Raw genomic sequence first — 19,858 nt, 5'->3', positions numbered from 1 at the left:
GTCTGGCTTATGTCCTAGCAGCAATTGTCCAACGCTTGCTCCATTTCCCCCCTTCTGTTGGCTTTGTACCCTTCGCCCATTCCTCCCTGCTGAAATCACAAAGCTCTGACCCCCGCCAGCCAGCGTGAGCCTCCTCCTCCTTCCTGGAGTCTTTAACATTAGAAAAGAGGCCTCTGGTGCAGAGCAATGTGTGTCAGATGGCCCCTCTGTATACACATTTTAAAAGCATGTAAGTGTGGGAGTAGAGGGAGAGAGGGAGGGAAAAATACACGATGGTGTGTACACAGCGAGGAAGCAATCCTGGGAGGACTTACAAGAAACAGTTGATGGTGGTTAACTTGGGGAACAGAAATTAGAGTGTTGGAGGGCAGAGGGTTCTACTTCCCATTTTGTTTCTGTATGTTCAACATGAATTTCCTAACCAATGTACATGAATTACATTTATTTATGCAAATAAGGATAGTCTGAGCCAAGAACTGATGGGCCGTGTTTGTCATATACGTATCTGCATAAGAAAGCAAAAAAAAAAAACAAAAAACCTGAGAAGCATTACATTTTGAAAATGAGAAAAAGCACCTATAATCCACCACCTCCCTTCATTCACAGTACCGAAATGTGCAACAATGTAAATGATAGAAAAATTATGAACAATTTACCCAGATGGGATGGAGCGAAAGAAGGAGGGGCCAGGAGTGGACCCCCAGCCTCTTTAGTAAATGCATCACTCCCCTTTGAGCTACTGTGATCCCTGTGTGTACCTTGCCTGGGGTCCACTCCTGCCCGCCATTTCAATCATTTGTGCAATTATTTATGTCTCAACCCCCAGCATCCCCAAATTAATAGCTTATATAGGGCAAGACATTGTCCTTCTGTTCTTAGGTGCTTCTAGAGCTTCCTGCATGCATAGCAGAAACTGAACAAACATTTACTAAATAGAATATAAGAAAGTCTCGGCAGAGCGCAGTAACTCAGGCCTGTAATTCCAGGACTTTGGGAGGCAGAGGCAGGGAGATCACTTGAGATCAGGAGGGATCACCTAAGGTCAGGAGTTCGACACCAGGCTGGCCAACATGGTGAAACCCCGTCTCTACTAAAAATAGAAAAATTAGCTGGGTGTGGTGGTGCACGCTTGACGCTTGTGATCCCAGTTACTCGGGAGGCTGAGGCAGGAGGATCGTTTGAACCAGGGAGGCGGAGGTTGCAGTGAGCCAAGATTGCACCACTGCACTGCAGCCTGGGCCACAGAGCGAGACTCCATCTCAAAAAAGAAAAAGAATATAAGGAAGTCCGCAAGAAAGTGAGAGGGCACGTGGTTTGACACCACTAAGATGGGTTAAAATATCCTTCCCTGCCACCTGTGGCTGGAACCTTAACCAGATATTCATGTCTGCTGTGTAAGTGCATGTCAAGGTTCAAACTCCTTTTCTTGTTTACCCAGCCCTGGCCCACACCTGCCTTTCTGCCCTGATTCCCAAGACAAATCCTGCGCCCCAGCAGTCAAACTGGTCCATTCACCACTCCCTGGGCGCACCTTGAGGCTCCCTGCCTTCAGGCCCTTGCTGGTGCCTTTCCCAATCTCTGCCACTGAAAACCCAGGTCACACCAGCTCTCCCTGAAGACTCAACTAATGTGCCCCGATGACTGGGCTTGCTTCCTCTTCTAATCTCCAGATGCTTCACTGCAGGTTGTACCCCACCTTGCATTGTGGTCATCTAAGCCTCCCCTGCTAGAGGGTGAAGATATGACTCTTACCCCTTGCCTTCCCCGGCCCTATTACCCAGCTCTGGGGCCTGCACAAAGACAGAAAGAGGAATATAGGAGTGTAATTCAAGTCAGAGGTAGAATTAGGTTAAAAGCTGGATCAAGATTGGGTTGAGTTTAGGATTAGAATTGGGAAAAGGTTCGTCAATTCTTAATCCCACCTACTAGGCGGCGCCCGCAGTCTCATTCGGGTCAAGACGCCTCCGGTTCTTGAATTTGATTACCAGTCTAGCAAGTTTCTTTCCTGCCCTACTGTCCCTTTAAGGAGGTGAACCAGGTGAGGCCGGGACTCCGCCCCCGGCGCTGGCCCCGCCCCCCGCCCCCGCCCGGCCCGCCCGGCTCTCCTAGTCCCTTGCAACCTGGCGCTGCCATCCGGGCCACTGTCCCAGGTCCCGGCCCGGAGCTATGGAGCGGCGCTGGCCCCTGGGGCTAGGGCTGGTGCTGCTGCTCTGCGCCCCGCTGCCCCCGGGGGCGCGCGCCAAGGAAGGTACCGACCCCCGCCCCCGCGCCCCCAACCCCCGCGCCCCGCCCCTTCCCGGGGCCCGGCCAGCACCCCCCTGCAGAAGCCGGCATTCCTAGGGGCCATGTTCCCCGAGACCCTCGCCAGCTCTCTCGCTGTGCCCGACCGCCAGGCTATCGACTGGCCAGGCCCATCTTTGGTCTTTAACCCCAAGCGGCTGCTCTCCCGGGTCAGTCACCCCCACTCCCGCAGGCCAGCAATCTGCTCCTGGGAGTGGGGAGGGAATTCCGGACCCTTGCCAGGAAGTAGCACCTGCACCCGCACCCCTGCCTGCATTCCCAGACAGTCCCAGCTTCAGGTGCCCACCCCAGAGATCTGAGCCCTTGGAAGTTGAAGGTGGGAAGTCGCCTCCTGCCAACCTAGGCCAGGGACAGAGGGAGCTGCCTCCGGGAGAAGGGTTAGGACTGACGCCACAGGGGTTCCCAGTTGTCCGAGTCGAATATTCCATGTGAAAGTTGGAACACCCTCTCCGGCCTTACTCCCCCCCACTTCCCAGGCAGGTAGCTGTGCCTCTTATCCCCACTTCACGGCTCTGATCACTGGCCAGGTCAGGCCAAAGCAGGCTTCGGACAGTGGAGGTGAGCCTCCCTACCCAGGAAACCCCTTCTGAGGTCCCCGGTCCACCCTGCCCACTCCTGGCTAGCAGAGGTGAGCTCCTCCTGCCCTCCACGCGTTCCAATCCTGCAGCTGATGGGTGTCCCAGGACGCAGCAGCCTGGGTAACTGAGCGTCTCGTGGGGCTGCTCTTCTTGCATTGACTTTGGTCAAAGACCCAGCGCCCCAACCCTTGTCCCACTCTACCTGCCTTCCTTCACACACACAAAGAAGAGTGAAATCCCTGGAGCTCTTCACTCCTCAGTCCTGAGCCCTTTTTCTCCCCTAAGCCTCAGGAAGTCACAGCTTTTAGGAACAGGATGTTGCAGCCTGGGGCTGAGGCCCCAGAATGATTAATGTGGGCTGCAGGGGCACCTCCTCCCCCAGAGGTGACAGACTTCTTTTCTCCCCACTTTCAGTTACTCTGATGGACACAAGCAAGGCACAGGGAGAGCTGGGCTGGCTGCTGGATCCCCCAAAAGATGGGGTAAGTGTCGGAAGAGGGAAGGATCTTGGAAAACTCCTGAAGGCCAGTGGGAAATGGGGTGGAGAGGTGGGTGGAGGAACAGAGAAAAGAGCAGGAAAAACTGGAAGTGTCTCCTCAGGGAGGGGGAGAGGAGGCTGAGTCAGAGCCTCCTCAATGGGACAAGGGGTGGGGGGGTCAGACTTCACCTCAAGATGAACGCTTGAATGGCCTGGCTCCTCCAGTGAATACTTGGGAATATTGTGAATACAAGCTGATACTTGTGAGGGGGAGAGGAGCTCACATACCCGGGGAGAGAATGCACCATGCTGGGGATGGTTGAAGGCTGAGACCAGTGCTTTGCTTGGGGAGGGATAGAAAAGGCAGAAAAGCATCCTCAATCTGAGATCCATTCATCCCAATGAAGTTGCATTGATAGGTTTCAGGGGGTGGGGAAACCCCATGAAAGTGTACTCTAAATTCTGTATATGTAAGCGGGCATTTTTTTTTCTGGAGAGACCAGCCAAAGCTTTCATCAAATTCTTCAAAGGGTCTTTGACTCCTCCGAAGTTAAAAGCTGCTCCCCTAAAGGTTTCTGAGCCCTTAGCTCATCCTCCACACCTCCTCAGGCTGACTGCGTGCACACCATGCATTCCAGCTGTTTGAAAGTGTCAGAGCTTGTTCCAGTTCCCTTCCTTCCTTGGATGTTCCTAAGACTCAGTGAACAGGTTGTGAGGTGGGTCTGAGAGAGCATATTCAGACTCAAATGCAGAGAGCAGCTCTTATGATGTACAAAAAACCAAACTCAGTTTTTTCCTACTGCACTCTCAACACAAATCACTTCGGTGACCTGTGGTCACCAAAATGCGTGTAGGGATTCCTCCCGCCTGCAGTCAGTTCTCTCTGGCAGATTCTTCAGTGGACAGTAGCTGAGTGTCCTCTAATCTTATTCAGTTCTTACACTATCTACCTGGAGATAGCCTCAGGTTGAGGGCTCAGCCCCACAAGACTGCCCTCCTCTAGACAACAATCACAAGTAACATGTTGTCACCTATACTTCTGTTCCATCGGCTGTAATCAGGTTTACCTGACCCTCCTCCTCGGGTTCAATTAGTTTGCTAGGATGGCTCACAGAACTCAGGGAAACATTGACTTGGATTTACTGGCTTACTATAACGGTTATTACAAATGGTACCATGAACACCAGATGGAATAGCTGCATGGGGCAAGGTATATGTGAAGGAGGCGAGCCACCCTGCAGGGACCTAATCATGTATGGCCATCCAGAAGCCCTCCCAACCCCATCCTTCTGGGCTTTTATGGAGACTTCATTACATAGGCGTGATTAATTAGATCATTGCCCACTGGTTATCAGCTCAACCTTCAACCTCTCTACCTTCCCTGGAAGTTGGGGGTGGGGCCGAAAGTCCCAACTCCAATCACAAGGTTGCCTTCTGCCACCCAGGCCTCCCCCACCCCAGTCTAGTTCCCATCCCCGGCAGTCAGCTCACTAGCATATAAAAAGACATTTGTCACTTCAGGGATTTTGAGGGCTTTAGGGGTTGTTTGCCAGGAAATGTGGACAAAGACCAAATATATATTTTACAATTCACAGCACCCTTTCTGCCAGCAGCACAGCTGGTCACAGAACCACTTAGGGGGCTGCCTAAGTTACTGGAGCATCTACAACTCTGGCTCTGGAACCCCTTCTCTCAGGGTTTCCTTCCTTACCCCAGTACTTGAGACTTCAATCCAGCCCCTGTTTCTGGGGTCAGGGTTACTTGCTTTCTTTCCCTCTGGGTCCTACAGTCCTGGCTCCGTTCTCTGTTCTCCTACAGAGTAGCCTGTAATTAGAGCTAATAGACTAAACCATAGTGGATCCTCCAGGAGGGGCCGTTTGGAAGATCCAGCCCTAATAGTTGACTTATCTCATAAATCAGCTAATCACCCACAGTGATAGCTGCAGGTCAGACTTCTGGCTCCCATGGGCCTTCCTTGGGCCCTTGACACCTCCACCCAAATAACTCTTCCCTAATTTGACTGGAATGGCAGCAAGGCCACTTTCTCAGCACAGGCAAAACAGTCCTGCATGCTAGGAGGGCAAGGAGACAGCCAGCAGTCATACACTCCCACTATCTACCTTGTCCCCCTCCTTCTCCCCATCTTTTCAAAACACACACACACACACACACACACACGCACACATGCACACGCAGGCATTCAGGTCCAGAATGCACCCATGTGGCAGCCAGCAGCGCCTGAGTGATAAGCAAAAGGATCCTTACTGCTGATCCTGGACAGCTGGCTCTCGCCCATCTGTCACTGCTGGAACTGGGAGAGGCAAGGCACAGCTGGGAACATCTGCTTCTCCTGGCTCCAGCTTCAGCCACGGCAATCTGGCTAATGAGCTGCACGTTAACCACTCACCACCCTGCCCACCTGACCCCCGCCAGTGCCTTCCACTTGGGCTTCCCCAGCACAGCCTTCCTTAGGAGAAGCCTCCTGGTGCCTTTTTCATTCCAGCTTCCTTGCCTTTTAGACACCCCTTGCCCAATCTTTGAACTCCCTAACATAATGCAGAAATATGTGCCTCATAGCAGCTTCTATTTCTGCCCCACCTCACCCCAAATTTTTGATTAATGATTTTTTTTTTTGCCTTTTCCCAGAGCTGAGGGTAGGGATGAGGGCCCCTGCATTATAATGGAGTAGAAACCTCAGGAAAGTGAACTTTCTAAGGGCCTCAGTCTATTCTGCATTAAATTATGGGGTTGCAACAAAAATATCAATAGAATACTTTATAGAATTTGAGAGCTTTTGAAAATTCATCTGACAGAGGAAATAAGAATGGTTGAGAAGAGTTTTTGAAGAATGAAATGGGAGACTTGTCTGACAAGCAGATATCAGAACCATCAGCTATAACTAAAACATATGTCTTGCACAAGATCACTCAGGTTAATGGGACAGGATAGAAAGTCCAAAAACGAGCCTACACATATGAGGTTGTAGTATGTGATAGCATCGGAATTGCAAATCAATATGGAAAGTAATACCTAGTTAATAAACTGACGGTTAGATATTCATAATTTTTAAATAAATATATAAAGATATATCTCTCCATAGCCACGCGCGGTGGCTCACACCTGTAATCCCAGTACTTTGGGAGGCCGAGGCGGGCGGATCCTGAGGTCAGGAGATCGAGACCATCCTGGCTAACACAGTGAAACCCCATCTCTGCTAAAAATACAAAAAAATTAGCCAGGCATGGTGGCGAGCGCCTGTAGTCCCAGCTACTTGGGAGGCTGAAGCAGGAGAATGGCGTGAACCCTGGAGGCAGAGCTTGCAGTGAGCCAAGATCGCACCACTGCACTCTAGCCTGGGCAATAGAGCAAGACTCTGTCTCATAAAAAAAAAAAAAAGATATATCTCTCCATTATACACAAAATTCATTCTAAGAAAACTAAAATCTCAACCTAAAAGCCAACCTACACAAATTTTAGGAGAAAATATAGATCATTATAATCTTGAGATAGGAAAACTTCCCAAGTCAAATATACAACCCAGAAATCATGAAGGGAAATACTGTAGATGTTATTATGTAAGAAATTTACAATGTAAGTCCACATCAAAACATCATTAGCAAAGCTAAGTGGTATGGCAGACAGGGAGAAAATATTTGAAACATACATTTGAAGGAAATGATTCGTGTCTATAATAAGTTTAAAAAAGAAACTCATCCAACTGAGTAATCAAAAGATAATAGAATGTCATGCAAAGGTTATAGACAGATAATTGCATAAACATACAAATAGTCAATGAACAAAAGAGAAATATACAACTTCCTCCTCTAAGAAATGCAAATTAAAATGCTAAGAAGCTGTGTTTTGACCCTAGGATTGGCAAAAGGCAAAAAGGTTATTAGTATTCTGTGTTGATGAAGTTTTGAGAAAATGAGCCCTCTTGTGTTGCTGGTGGAAGTGTAAATTGATAAACCTTTTTTGGAAGACAATTTGACAGTATCTTATAAAACCTGTAGTATGTCTACCCTTTGATATGGCAGTTCCATGGAAATCTTACATCAATCTGTACATGATTTCTTTAAAAAGAAAAAAAAACTAGAAGCTGTCTAAATGTCCAACAATAGGTGAATGGGACTAAATAAATTATGGCCTTCTCTACAATGGAGTATTACTTATGGATTGCTTTAAAAAAAAAAAGTAAGAAAGCTCTATATACACTTTTGTGGCTATCTTTCAAAGACTTTTTTGAGAGGGAATCTTGCTTTGTCGCCCATGCTGGAGTGCAGTGGCGAGATCTTGGCTCACTGCAACCTCCGCCTCCTGGGTTCAAGCCATTCTCCTGCCTCAGCCTCCCAAGTAGCCGGGATTACAGGCATGTGCCACCACACCCAGCTAATTTTTTTGTATTTTTAGTAGAGATGGGAGGTTTTGCCTTGTTGGCCAAGCTGGTCTCGAACTCCTGACCTCAGGGAATCTGCCTTCCTGGGCCTCCCAAAGTGCTAGGATTACAGGCGTGAGCCACCACTCCCGGCCCTCAAATACTTATTATTTGTGAAAACAGAAAGTAGCTTACAAAATAACACTTGTATGATCCCGTGTTGAAAGCAAAACTCAGAAACATTCAAGCAGTTCTCTGGAGGCATTGAAAAATGGTCTGGAAAGTTTTGCTAACAATTGCTGAGAGTGGCTGCCTCTGAGAATGAGAGTGGAAGGATGAGGGTGAGGGAATTAAACTTTATTCTGTGTAAGTCTTTACTTTTTGACTTTTCACAATAAGCACACAGAGGTATAATGATTAAAGGCATGAATTCTGGAACCTGGAGTGTCTGGCTCATTTCCCAGCTCTGCCTCTCATAGCTGAGTACCTTGGCAAGTCACTCGACCTCCCTGTGCCTCAGTTTCCTCGTGGAAAGTGCTTAAACCGGTGACTGGGCCACAGTAAGCACTATGTTAGTGCTAGCCATTAATATTACTAAGTTTAAAAGTTCTTTTCAGATAAAAGAAGCTAACAGCCTGGCCAACGTGGCAAAACCTTGTCTCTACTAAAAATACAAAAAATTAGCCAGGCATGGTGGTGCATGCCTGTAATCCCAACTACTCAGGAGGCTGAAGTGGGAGAATCGCTTGAACCTAGGTGGCGGAGGTTATAGTGAGCCAAGATTGTGCCACTGCACTCCAGCTCCAGCCTGGGTGACAGAGTGAGACCTTTGCCTCAAACAAACAAACAAAAAGTTAAGGGGAGTAGACTAGATAGTATCAAGAAGTCCAGCCAAATCTGTCAATTGTTGATTTCGATGATGGCTATAATTGAAATATTGGAGAGGATGAGAATCCTCTGTACAGTTCTGTGCTTGTTCTTACCCTCCAAATCTAAAGGGTTTTAATAATTAAAAATAAATCTTGGGCTGGGTGTGGTGGCTCACAGGCTTTGGGAGGCCAAGCAAGAGGATCATCTGAGTCCAGGTGTTTGAGATCAGCCTGGACAGCATAGCAAGAACTCATCTCTACCAAAAAAAAAAAAAAGAAAGAAAAAATAGCCCAGTGTGTTGGCAGGCACCTGTAGTCCCAGCTACTTGGGAGACTGAGCCCAGGAGTTTGAGGCTATAGTGAGCTTTGATTATACCACTGCGCTGCAGACAGAACGAGACCCTGTCTCTGAAAAACAAAAAATTCACCAATATCCTCTTGAAGAAACAGAAGGGTTTTGTAAATGAGCTTTGCCTTGGGGGTACCTGGCTGTTCTGCTGATGAAATAAGTGGACTAGACTAACTGAAGGGACCAGGATCAACTAGGGATGTTAAGGGACTATTGTCTTGCCCATCTTATATCCAAACAAATCCCCAACCCTAAACACTCAGTCTACTGTCCTGGAGCTGAGGGGTGGGGAGAGGCAGAACAAGTAGCATAAACCTGAGGGGCTCTGACACAGCTGCTTCTCCATCAGCTCTAAAAACCAAGGGTTTGGGGAGCAGGGGATGATCTGGTCCCTGACTCTGATTTCCTCCTTGCAGTGGAGTGAACAGCAACAGATACTGAATGGGACACCCCTGTACATGTACCAGGACTGCCCAATGCAAGGACGCAGAGACACTGACCACTGGCTTCGCTCCAATTGGATCTACCGCGGGGAGGAGGCTTCCCGCGTCCACGTGGAGCTGCAGTTCACCGTGCGGGACTGCAAGAGTTTCCCTGGGGGAGCCGGGCCTCTGGGCTGCAAGGAGACCTTCAACCTTCTGTACATGGAGAGTGACCAGGATGTGGGCATTCAGCTCCGACGGCCCTTGTTCCAGAAGGTGCTGCTTCCCTCCATGCCATCTGGGTCCTGGTGCAGATCCCTGGTGGCTCCTTATTGGGTGCCAGAGAAGGTTGCAGAGACAGGAAGAGGGTGCAGAGGTAGAATCTTGAAAAGAATTTGGCGCTTGAAGGCTGGGCATGGTGGCTTGTGCCTGTAATTCCAGTGCTTTGGGAAACCGATGTGGGAAGATCACTTGAGGCCAGGAGCTTGAGACCAGCCTGGGCAACATAGCAAAACTTCATCTCTGCAAAAAATTAAAAATCACCTGGGCATGGTGGCCCATACCTGTAGTCCCAGCGACTCAGGAGGCTGAGGCAGGAGGATCACTTGAGCCCAGGAGTTTGAGGCTGCAGTGATCTATGATTGTGCCACTGTACACCAGCCTGGGCAACAGAGCAAGATCCTGTCTCTAAAGAAAAAAAGAACAGTGTGGCATTGGAAATCAGAAGGGCTGGATTTGAGTATCTTTTCTGCTGTGCCGTGACTTTGGGGGTGTCATTTAACCTCTCCAGCTTTTGTTGCCTAGTCATAAAATAGTGACAACAATAGGGCCAGCTATATCTATTTTATAGGCTTTTATAAGCATCCACTGAGATCACAGGATACCATGGGGAGGAGGGAAGTGTAGCACAGAGTTATTTAGACTTTTCCTATTGATACCCACGATGTTCATAAGCAACCCACTCCCATAGTATCACTGGAGTCATGTAGCAAGACAATTCCCTGCAGGCTAGTACTCTCCAGCACATCCCTTTCTTTCCTACTCAAAAAAACATCCTGGGATGCAGAAGAGTAAGGAGCATTTTATGATAGGATATGCTCTTGTTTCTTTCCAAAGAGAAAATGTTGTAAAATTTGTTACTAGTAATAAATTGATAACGATATGCTCTATAACTCATCATGTTATTGGCACTGAGTTTGGGAATGCCTCTGAATAGCAGAAATTGTATGGACTGTAGAGTCCCAATGCCTGGATTCCAGTCCTAGCCCCATGATGTGGTAGCTGTGTGATCTTATACAAGGTCTTTATCTTCTATTAGCCTTGGTTTCCTCATCTATTAAATAGAGACAATAAGCCATCCTACCTCATAAGAGGATTGCATGAGCTAAATAGCATAATGCACATAAAATGCTTAGCCTGGCACCTCACACATACAAGGCTCAGTGTTCATGGTTGTGGAAAGTATTAAGCAAACGATTGTTTCTGTTATGTGGGAAAGAAGCAGGACTTTGCCATTGCTCCCCTTTCTTCCCCACCTTCTACCCAGGTAACCACGGTGGCTGCAGACCAGAGCTTCACCATTCGAGACCTTGTGTCTGGCTCCGTGAAGCTGAATGTGGAGCGCTGCTCTCTGGGCCGCCTGACCCGCCGTGGCCTCTACCTCGCTTTCCACAACCCGGGTGCCTGTGTGGCCCTGGTGTCTGTCCGGGTCTTCTACCAGCGCTGTCCTGAGACCCTGAATGGCTTGGCCCAATTCCCAGACACTCTGCCTGGCCCCGCTGGGTTGGTGGAAGTGGCGGGGACCTGCTTGCCCCACGCGCGGGCCAGCCCCAGGCCCTCAGGTGCACCCCGCATGCACTGCAGCCCTGATGGCGAGTGGCTGGTGCCTGTAGGACGGTGCCACTGTGAGCCTGGCTATGAGGAAGGTGGCAGTGGCGAAGCATGTGTTGGTAAGAACGGAGGCGGTGAGAACCTGAGGAACCACTCGGGAGGATTGCAGGAGTACCCCGGCAGAGAAGGAGGCCAGTGCTCCGCCTCAGTGGGTTTTTAACCTGAGTGTCCCAGAGCAGCGGACACACACATGCAGAGATGTTTCCAGTAGAAGGGATTGGGGCAGGAAGGGGTGGTGGTGGTTCTGCCTGTAAAAACATTTACAGAACCACTGCTCTGCTGCGTTCTCTCTCCAGCCTGCCCTAGCGGCTCCTACCGGATGGACATGGACACACCCCATTGTCTCACGTGCCCCCAGCAGAGCACTGCTGAGTCTGAGGGGGCCACCATCTGTACCTGTGAGAGCGGCCATTACAGAGCTCCCGGGGAGGGCCCCCAGGTGGCATGCACAGGTGAGTCCAGGGGGTGGGGCGTGGCCATCTGGAGGGAGGGGCTGGATCTTTGCTGAGACTTTGTCAGGGTTGGATTTTTCCAGAGCTTGTCAGATATTGGAGATGGTCCAGGGTGTCAGGCACTTTTAGCCCCTGCCCTGGCACCCTGCTCTCCCTAGAAGAATGCAGAGATGTAGTCAAACCCAGTAGAAATCAAATCTCCCCAAGAGGACTTCAGAGGACATCGAGAATTGGGTGGTGGTGGAGGCCGGGGATCAGCAGCTCGGGTGACAGCGAGGTCGGCTTCTACTGATGGCTCCTCTTCTCCCACAGGTCCCCCCTCGGCCCCCCGAAACCTGAGCTTCTCTGCCTCAGGGACTCAGCTCTCCCTGCGTTGGGAACCCCCAGCAGATACGGGGGGACGCCAGGATGTCAGATACAGTGTGAGGTGTTCCCAGTGTCAGGGCACAGCACAGGACGGGGGGCCCTGCCAGCCCTGTGGGGTGGGCGTGCACTTCTCGCCGGGGGCCCGGGGGCTCACCACACCTGCAGTGCATGTCAATGGCCTTGAACCTTATGCCAACTACACCTTTAATGTGGAAGCCCAAAATGGAGTGTCAGGGCTGGGCAGCTCTGGCCATGCCAGCACCTCAGTCAGCATCAGCATGGGGCATGCAGGTGAGAGGCTGAGAGGGGCTGGGACAGGGACCTGGTGGAGACAGAAGGGCTTAAGACCACAGAACAAACTGATGGGCAGGAAGCCATAGAAAAGTTACTAAGGTTATTTCCTTTTTCCTTACATATCCAACCTTATCCCTCTGGACCCCCAGAGTCACTGTCAGGCCTGTCTCTGAGACTGGTGAAGAAAGAACCGAGGCAACTAGAGCTGACCTGGGCGGGGTCCCGGCCCCGAAGCCCTGGGGCGAACCTGACCTATGAGCTGCACGTGCTGAACCAGGTCAGGATGCTACTGAGAGATGGTCTTCAGTGTCCATGCCCGGGCACACCCCAACATTCCTAGCCTGGGGTGTGGGTTGGGAGGAATCCACCCGAAGTCCACTGTGTGGCTTTCTCAGGACAAAAGTCTATGAAGAACCCTGTCCTAACCATTCTGCTCTCCAGCCCCTCCCCATGTGCTCTGATGCTGTCCATCACATCCACCCGGGTCTGGCTCAGCACTGCCCACTTAATGCAACTCCAACCCACAGGATGAAGAACGGTACCAGATGGTTCTAGAACCCAGGGTCTTGCTGACAGAGCTGCAGCCTGACACCACATACATCGTCAGAGTCCGAATGCTGACCCCACTGGGTCCTGGCCCTTTCTCCCCTGATCATGAGTTTCGGACCAGCCCACCAGGTGGGGTATCTTGTGCTCTGCCCCAACACACATACACCTGTTGCCTCACTGAGGCAACTCAGCTCCTGTTCCACGTAGTGACTTTTCCTCTTCCTCTACACACATGCACACACACTCCCTTCTTCCGGGGGTAGGGGACAGACACCGACCTGATGCACACTGAAAGGTCTGACCCTAGGTGTACCCAGGGCCCTGCCCTTTAACCCCCCTCATTCCTACGGACTGTGAGTCCCAACACTTCCTCATCCCTTTGTGCCTACAGTGTCCAGGGGCCTGACTGGAGGAGAGATTGTAGCCGTCATCTTTGGGCTGCTGCTTGGTGCAGCCTTGCTGCTTGGGATTCTCGTTTTCCGGTCCAGGTGCCAGCTCCTGCCCCCTCCCCAACCACCAGCCCTGGGTCAGAAGCCCCTGACTGCAGCCCCAACGACCCTCCCATCCCCTAGTATCAAAACCCATCCTGCACTCCCAGCCCGTTTCTGGGGAAGATTCAGCCAGAGTCCCTCGGACCCCTGAGGTGGTCCTGGGGCCCTGAAGGAGCTGGTCCCCAACCCCCACAGGAGAGCCCAGCGGCAGAGGCAGCAGAGGCAGCGTGACCGCGCCACCGATGTGGATCGAGGTGAGTCGGGTGCACCTGCGTGTGTCCCCACATGCGTGTGCACACCTGTGTGTGCGTGTGTGTGTGTGTTGGGAGATGCCACTGGGAAGGGATCAAGGGACACATTTGCTAGGCCAACTCTGGGGGCACATGTGGGGTTTGTTGTCCCCAGGGCTCTTGTGTTTTGCTACCTAATTAACTTTGGTTAATTAACTATGTACTGGTAGCCCCCCAGTGGCTCTGATGCAATTATCTGTTAGTGTCCGTTCACTGCTGGTGCCGCTGTCTTGTCACCCTGGGCTCTGGACAGCCCTCCCCATCCTGGAGGCCAGGGCTGTGGGCCGAGGCCAGGCGGGAGGAGGATTGACGTCCTCCGAGGCTTATGAGCTTCTTGCTTGTCACCTCATTAGGTGACCCACAAAGGGGAGAGTGAGGGGTCCATCCGGGCAGCTGGGGTGGGAGCCATGCGCGGCTCTGTCTGGGAATGTGAACGAGGTGTGACTGACCAGAGCAGTGTGGGGACTGGCCGCTGAGAAGATTGGGCAACTCAGGCAGCAAATATGCTCTGCGGGTGTGGATCCTGGCCACCGCCCCGGACCTTGTGGAGTGAGGACAGCGGAGCTTGGAGCATAGACAGGGAGAAGAAAGGCCTAGTTGCTAAATGGAGACTTTCTCCCACCTCAGCCCAAACAGGAGTCACCTTGGGAAACAGGGAGGTGTGGAGAAGTGTGTGGTCCGCTGCTGGCCCTTCTCCTGACCCCCATACTCCTGAGCCCTGATGTTGGTACTCCCCAACCTCATGTTCTGCCCATAGAGGACAAGCTGTGGCTGAAGCCTTATGTGGACCTCCAGGCATACGAGGACCCTGCACAGGGAGCCCTGGACTTTACCCGGGAGCTTGATCCAGCGTGGCTGATGGTGGACACTGTCATAGGAGAAGGTGAGTCCTGCTGTGCACCGCAGCAGGCCCCCCGCCATGTGGGGCAGCACAGAGCCACCAGCAGGCCCCTTCCTTCCAGCGCTTCCCTGGGCAGCCCAGCTGGCTTCTCTGGTCCAAGAGTTTCCAGAGGTACTCACTCTGCTCTGCTCTGTATCCTCTTTGAACCATTGCGTTCTTGTTAAAAACCCCTCATCAGGTGCCCTGGAGCAACCCCTGTCTCCTACACACTTGCTTCTGTGGTTTTGGAGTTTCTGATAAAGGGCATTAAATACACTGTTTTCATCCACAGAGGTGCTGCTGTGCTGAGGGTCCAGATGTTCTGTGATGATGCCCAAATGTAGGACTCATTCCCTCCCTAGCCTGGCATTCCACCCCATCAGAGGCCCAGTGTCCTTGGGCTGCCCTGTTCCCTTGGGTCACCAGAGGAAATGGATCTCAGTGGAGAACAAAGCTTGGTGGTGTCCTTGCCAATTGTGCAGCTGAGCCAGGCAAGCTGGGACCAGAGGAGCTCACAGAAGAGAGGCGGCCATAGCCAGCGTCCCTGCCACTTGGGTACTAGTGCCGCACTAGCTTGCTCTTCATGAGCACGGCCCAGTCCCGCTCCACAGGGTTCATTCACCCTGCAGTTGCCGAGCGCCTATTGTGAGCCAAGAACTGTGCAAACACTGGGAGACAGTGGTGAATAGGTCACGGCATTGCACTCCAGCTCCAGACTCTGACCTTCCCCAGGAAGGACAGCCCACGCCCTGTCCCAGGAAGGGCACTCCACGCTTCTGATTCTCCAGAAAAGAAAAGGGCCGGAGGACTGGAGGGGTTGCTGCCTGTCCCCTGGAGGAGCCCTGCAGTGCATCGGGCCACAGCCTGTTTTCTTTCTACCCAGGAGAGTTTGGGGAAGTGTATCGAGGGACCCTGAGGCTCCCCAGCCAGGACTGCAAGACTGTGGCCATTAAGACCTTAAAAGACACATCCCCAGGTGGCCAGTGGTGGAACTTCCTTCGAGAGGCAACTATCATGGGCCAGTTTAGCCACCCGCATATTCTGCATCTGGAAGGCGTCGTCACAAAGCGTACGATGAGTGGTCTCCCTCAGCTGGGGGCGGGAAATGCAGGAAAGAGGGGTGAAACCACTGGAAGTGGAGGGAGGATGTGTGGCCAAGGGCAGGAAGCCCGGTTCTGAGTGTGATATGTGTGTCTGTGTCTCAGGAAAGCCGATCATGATCATCACAGAATTTATGGAGAATGGAGCCCTGGATGCCTTCCTGAGGGTGAGGAGGGCAGAGGACTAGCTGGGGAGGGGGATGCACCATGGTACCCTGGGCACTGGGAGGAGACCTGGCCCATCCCCTGACTCACCCACTCACCCTGCTGCAGGAGCGGGAGGACCAGCTGGTCCCTGGGCAGCTAGTGGCCATGCTGCAGGGCATAGCATCTGGCATGAACTACCTCAGTAATCACAATTATGTCCACCGGGACCTGGCTGCCAGAAACATCTTGGTGAATCAAAACCTGTGCTGCAAGGTGTCTGACTTTGGCCTGACTCGCCTCCTGGATGACTTTGATGGCACATACGAAACCCAGGTTAGAGGCCGGTACAAACCCAGTGCACATTCACATTGCCCCGTAACATGCCATTCATACAGTCACATGTATATAGGCACAAAGACTTGGCCAGGCACGGTGGCTCACACCTGTAATCCCAGCACTTTGGGAGGCCGAGGCAGGTGGATCACAAGGTCAGGAGATCGAGACCAGCCTGGCGAACATGGTGAAACCCCGTCTCTACTAAAAATACAAAAAATTAGCTGGGCATGGTGGCAGGCGCCTGTAGTCCCAGCTACTCAGGAGGCTGAGGCAGGAGAATCGCTTGAACCTGGGAGGTGGAGGTTGCAGTGAGCCGAGATTGCGCCACTGCACTGCAGCCTAGCAACAGAGCGAGACTTTGTCTCAAAAAAAATAAAATAAAAATACAATAAAAGAAGCAGAAAGACTCGTGCTCAGGTGGACACCATAACTTTCCGTCCCTGACCCATGTGCCTTCTTAGGGAGGAAAGATCCCTATCCGTTGGACAGCCCCTGAAGCCATTGCCCATCGGATCTTCACCACAGCCAGCGATGTGTGGAGCTTTGGGATTGTGATGTGGGAGGTGCTGAGCTTTGGGGACAAGCCTTATGGGGAGATGAGCAATCAGGAGGTGAGCCCAGAATATTCTTCCTCATCTTGTCTCCAATTCACACCTCTTATTTCCTCCCAAGGTCCTCCCATGGCCTTTTCCTGCAAATATCTTTATTTATTCATGACCTTCAGTTTTTCTGTACTCCTGGCTCCTCTGGTTCTTCACCTCATGCCCTGCTCTCTTTACTCCTCCCACCCTGATCCTCCCACTGTGATCGTCCCACCCTGGTCCTCCCACCTCCTCCCATCCTAGGATCTCCACTGCAATTATCTTGTGTGACCGTCGGTTTCTCATGGGCCTCCAGGTTAGCTTGCTACTCTAGAGCATCCTCCTGTCCCGCCGTGCAGGTTATGAAGAGCATTGAGGATGGGTACCGGTTGCCCCCTCCTGTGGACTGCCCTGCCCCTCTGTATGAGCTCATGAAGAACTGCTGGGCATATGACCGTGCCCGCCGGCCACACTTCCAGAAGCTTCAGGCACATCTGGAGCAACTGCTTGCCAACCCCCACTCCCTGCGGACCATTGCCAACTTTGACCCCAGGTAACCATGCAGGGGAAGGACTAGGGAACCCAGAGGCAGCGCTAGGAGAGTGGAAATGGGCATTCAGCCAATCTTCTTTGAGCGCTGGGCCTGGGGAGCTCTGGACCAAGTCCAGTGTATGAGGCAAGACGTGCCCTTGGGGAGAGTCCAAGAGGTCAGCTTTAGATTATGCATATTTGCAGAAAATCAGTTATGGCTGGGCCCCAGTTCCCTCACTTCACCTGGGCTTGGGGGTGGGGGGCCCATCTTTTCTCTTCTCAGGCAGCCTCACCTAAGACACTCCCGGAGCCATCCTTGCCAATCCCACTGTGTTGTACTGTGGCCCATTCTTGGGATGCATCCCCTTCCCCATAGAAATATTTCTGCATGTGAAGGAAAGGGTCATCCATTCATGAAGTTTTGGAGGACCTACTGGTGCAAGCTGTTTGCTGGACATTGGAGATACAGCTGCACTTATTACCCAAGCTCCAGGGAGCTTGGGCAGCCAGGCTGGGGTGGGGTAGGTAGCAGCAGCCTTGCAGGGTTTGGGAAGGCTTCTGGATCACATGGCTAGTCTGTGGGGAGCTGAGGGCTGGTAGGTTGCAGATAGTGCAGGATGGCTGCGGCATTGTGTTTAGGAATAGCAGCCATGAGGCTGGAGAGACAACCAGTCAACACAAAGAGGACCAGCCCTGTTGAGAAGTTTGGATTTTACCATGAGTGCAGAGTTGTTGTTTTTTTTTCCACCCCGAGACGGAGTCTTGCTCTGTCGCCCAGGCTGGAGTAACGCAGCGCAATCTCAGCTCACTGCAGCCTCCACCTCCAGGGTTCAAGTGATTCTCCTGTCTCGGCCTCCTGAGTAGCTGGGATTACAGGCACATACCACCATGCCCGGCTAATTTTTGTATTTTTAGTAGAAACGGGGTTTCACCATGTTGGCCAAGCTGGTCTCGAACTCCTGACCTCATGATCCGCCCACCTCGGCCTCCCAAAGTGCTGGGATTACAGGCGTGGGCCACCTCGCCTGGCCTGGAGAACCAATTCTTAAAAGCTGTCCACAGGATGGGGGGACATGGTCAGAGCTGCATTTTACCAAAAATATGGCCTGAGTGTAGAGAATGAACTGATGGGGGGGTGGGGGAGCGCTCAGGTTGGGGAAGCAGGCAAGGCTGTTCTTCAAGTGCTTTATTGGGTAGCCAGCCTGGCCAACTGGCCTCTGTATCCAACCACCATATATAACCTTGTTTCTGGGAGAAAACATGCTCTAAGTTCCAACTTTTGAAACTATCTTTTGGAGCGCAACTCCCTCATACACTGGAGACTGCGTGTGCTAATCTTTCTGGAATGCTGGATATTTTTTCCCCCAGCAGATTTACTTTGCTAATGGTTTTTGGCTCTGGCGAGCTTTAGTACAGGAACACTCATTGTATTGTGGGTGTCAGAGTGCAAGAATAACAGCCGAAGCTGAAGGTGGTGAGGAAGGACTGCTCCCGGAACTCAAGCAGCCACTATGGAAAAAGGCAGGACCACGCCCAGGTGCCAGGCCTCTGTTCTCCTACTTTCAGCTTCCTCTCAGACAGGAGACTTCCATGTCTTAACCAGCCCTCAGTCAGGTGCCCAGAACCGGCCACTCCAGCAGGAGACCGGCTGGTGATCCCCTTCTGTTGGGGCTTCCCAGGACAGTCCCTTCCTATAGGCCTGTCGACATAGCAGGACTGTCAGCCAGTCCACTGTTGTGAGCACACCAGGAAACAGGCCAGGAAGTGGGCTCAGAGATAATGGTGGGGTCAATCCACAGTCTAGATGATCTCTGTGCCCAGACACCGAACTTCAGTGCTGGCTGCTGATGCTCAGAGGCCAAGGCCAACCAGATCAGCCCATGTACCCGCTGTGACTGACATGCCCATGTCCCACAGGATGACTCTTCGCCTGCCCAGCCTGAGTGGCTCAGATGGGATCCCATATCGAACCGTCTCTGAGTGGCTCGAGTCCATACGCATGAAACGCTACATCCTGCACTTCCACTCGGCTGGGCTGGACACCATGGAGTGTGTGCTGGAGCTGACCGCTGAGTAAGGAGCTGGAGCTGTCTGGGCAGGGGAGGGCTGCGGGGGTGGAGCCTCCGGACTCATGCCCCCACCCTTCCTTGCCCACAGGGACCTGACGCAGATGGGAATCACACTGCCCGGGCACCAGAAGCGCATTCTTTGCAGTATTCAGGGATTCAAGGACTGATCCCTCCTCTCACCCCATGCCCAATCAGGGTGCAAGGAGCAAGGACGGGGCCAAGGTCGCTCATGGTCACTCCCTGCGCCCCTTCCCACAACCTGCCAGACTAGGCTATCGGTGCTGCTTCTGCCCACTTTCAGGAGAACCCTGCTCTGCACCCCAGAAAACCTCTTTGTTTTAAAAGGGAGGTGGGGGTAGAAGTAAAAGGATGATCATGGGAGGGAGCTGAGGGGTTAATATATATACATACATACACATATATATATTTTTGTAAATAAACAGGAACTGATTTTCTGCCTCCATCCCACCCATGAGGGCTGCAGGCACTACAAAAGAGCTGACTACTGAG

The 19,858-nt window shown here is 52.0% G+C and overlaps 1 protein-coding gene and 1 long non-coding RNA gene across 2 annotated transcripts in view, besides 7 other annotated features; one reads left to right on the top strand and one right to left on the bottom strand.

The window, feature by feature from the left end:
• Positions 1–3,159, bottom strand: part of EPHA1-AS1 (EPHA1 antisense RNA 1) — a 115,637-nt gene extending 112,478 nt beyond the window's left edge. The window contains exon 1 of the long non-coding RNA NR_033897.1: positions 3,086–3,159. This is a non-coding gene — a long non-coding RNA (EPHA1 antisense RNA 1). The remainder of the gene's footprint in view (positions 1–3,085) is intronic.
• Positions 1,432–2,044: an enhancer, noted in NCBI's record as "H3K27ac-H3K4me1 hESC enhancer chr7:143106021-143106633 (GRCh37/hg19 assembly coordinates)". NCBI's record gives its function as "activates a minimal SCP1, AML or CMV promoter by ChIP-STARR-seq in primed H9 embryonic stem cells {active_cell/tissue: H9 hESC(primed)}" and the evidence as "EXISTENCE:reporter gene assay evidence [ECO:0000049][PMID:30033119]".
• EPHA1 (EPH receptor A1) lies at positions 2,116–19,843 on the top strand. The gene is made up of 18 exons (NM_005232.5): positions 2,116–2,248; positions 3,294–3,361; positions 9,367–9,648; positions 10,919–11,321; positions 11,559–11,714; positions 12,027–12,371; positions 12,524–12,651; positions 12,902–13,052; positions 13,315–13,411; positions 13,610–13,668; positions 14,462–14,587; positions 15,468–15,653; positions 15,790–15,851; positions 15,958–16,164; positions 16,629–16,778; positions 17,108–17,301; positions 19,197–19,352; positions 19,437–19,843. Exons 1-18 carry the CDS (start codon positions 2,167–2,169, stop codon positions 19,513–19,515), a joined length of 2,931 nt encoding a protein of 976 aa, NP_005223.4. The 5' UTR covers positions 2,116–2,166; the 3' UTR covers positions 19,516–19,843.
• Positions 5,629–6,143: an enhancer, noted in NCBI's record as "H3K4me1 hESC enhancer chr7:143101922-143102436 (GRCh37/hg19 assembly coordinates)". NCBI's record gives its function as "activates a minimal SCP1, AML or CMV promoter by ChIP-STARR-seq in primed H9 embryonic stem cells {active_cell/tissue: H9 hESC(primed)}" and the evidence as "EXISTENCE:reporter gene assay evidence [ECO:0000049][PMID:30033119]".
• Positions 14,522–14,816: a silencer, noted in NCBI's record as "tiled region #2529; HepG2 Repressive DNase matched - State 5:Enh, and K562 Repressive non-DNase unmatched - State 20:ReprD". NCBI's record gives its function as "represses a minimal TATA promoter and a strong SV40 promoter by Sharpr-MPRA in HepG2 and K562 cells {active_cell/tissue: HepG2 | K562}" and the evidence as "EXISTENCE:reporter gene assay evidence [ECO:0000049][PMID:27701403]".
• Positions 14,522–15,464: a biological region, named in NCBI's record as "Sharpr-MPRA regulatory region 2529".
• Positions 14,754–15,464: an enhancer, noted in NCBI's record as "H3K4me1 hESC enhancer chr7:143092601-143093311 (GRCh37/hg19 assembly coordinates)". NCBI's record gives its function as "activates a minimal SCP1, AML or CMV promoter by ChIP-STARR-seq in primed H9 embryonic stem cells {active_cell/tissue: H9 hESC(primed)}" and the evidence as "EXISTENCE:reporter gene assay evidence [ECO:0000049][PMID:30033119]".
• Positions 17,202–17,496: an enhancer, noted in NCBI's record as "tiled region #10434; HepG2 Activating DNase matched - State 5:Enh". NCBI's record gives its function as "activates a minimal TATA promoter and a strong SV40 promoter by Sharpr-MPRA in HepG2 cells {active_cell/tissue: HepG2}" and the evidence as "EXISTENCE:reporter gene assay evidence [ECO:0000049][PMID:27701403]".
• Positions 18,806–19,406: an enhancer, noted in NCBI's record as "H3K4me1 hESC enhancer chr7:143088659-143089259 (GRCh37/hg19 assembly coordinates)". NCBI's record gives its function as "activates a minimal SCP1, AML or CMV promoter by ChIP-STARR-seq in naive H9 embryonic stem cells {active_cell/tissue: H9 hESC(naive)}" and the evidence as "EXISTENCE:reporter gene assay evidence [ECO:0000049][PMID:30033119]".
• Positions 19,844–19,858: the final 15 nt, after the last annotated feature.

Source organism: Homo sapiens, chromosome 7 (genome assembly GCF_000001405.40).
Source record: "Homo sapiens chromosome 7, GRCh38.p14 Primary Assembly".
NCBI classification, from domain to species: Eukaryota; Metazoa; Chordata; class Mammalia; order Primates; family Hominidae; genus Homo; species Homo sapiens.
Note: the sequence above shows the minus strand (reverse complement) of the source record. Positions and strands in the feature narration are given on the sequence as shown.

Bases quoted from the DNA above. Each gene is read 5' to 3' on its own strand.
- EPHA1 (NM_005232.5), top strand. From the start codon at position 2,167: ATGGAGCGGCGCTGGCCCCTGGGGCTAGGGCTGGTGCTGCTGCTCTGC. The intron at 3,362-9,366 runs GTAAGTGTCGGA...TCCTCCTTGCAG, and splicing joins TGGATCCCCCAAAAGATGGG to TGGAGTGAACAGCAACAGAT. The intron at 12,652-12,901 runs GTCAGGATGCTA...TCCAACCCACAG, and splicing joins AGCTGCACGTGCTGAACCAG to GATGAAGAACGGTACCAGAT.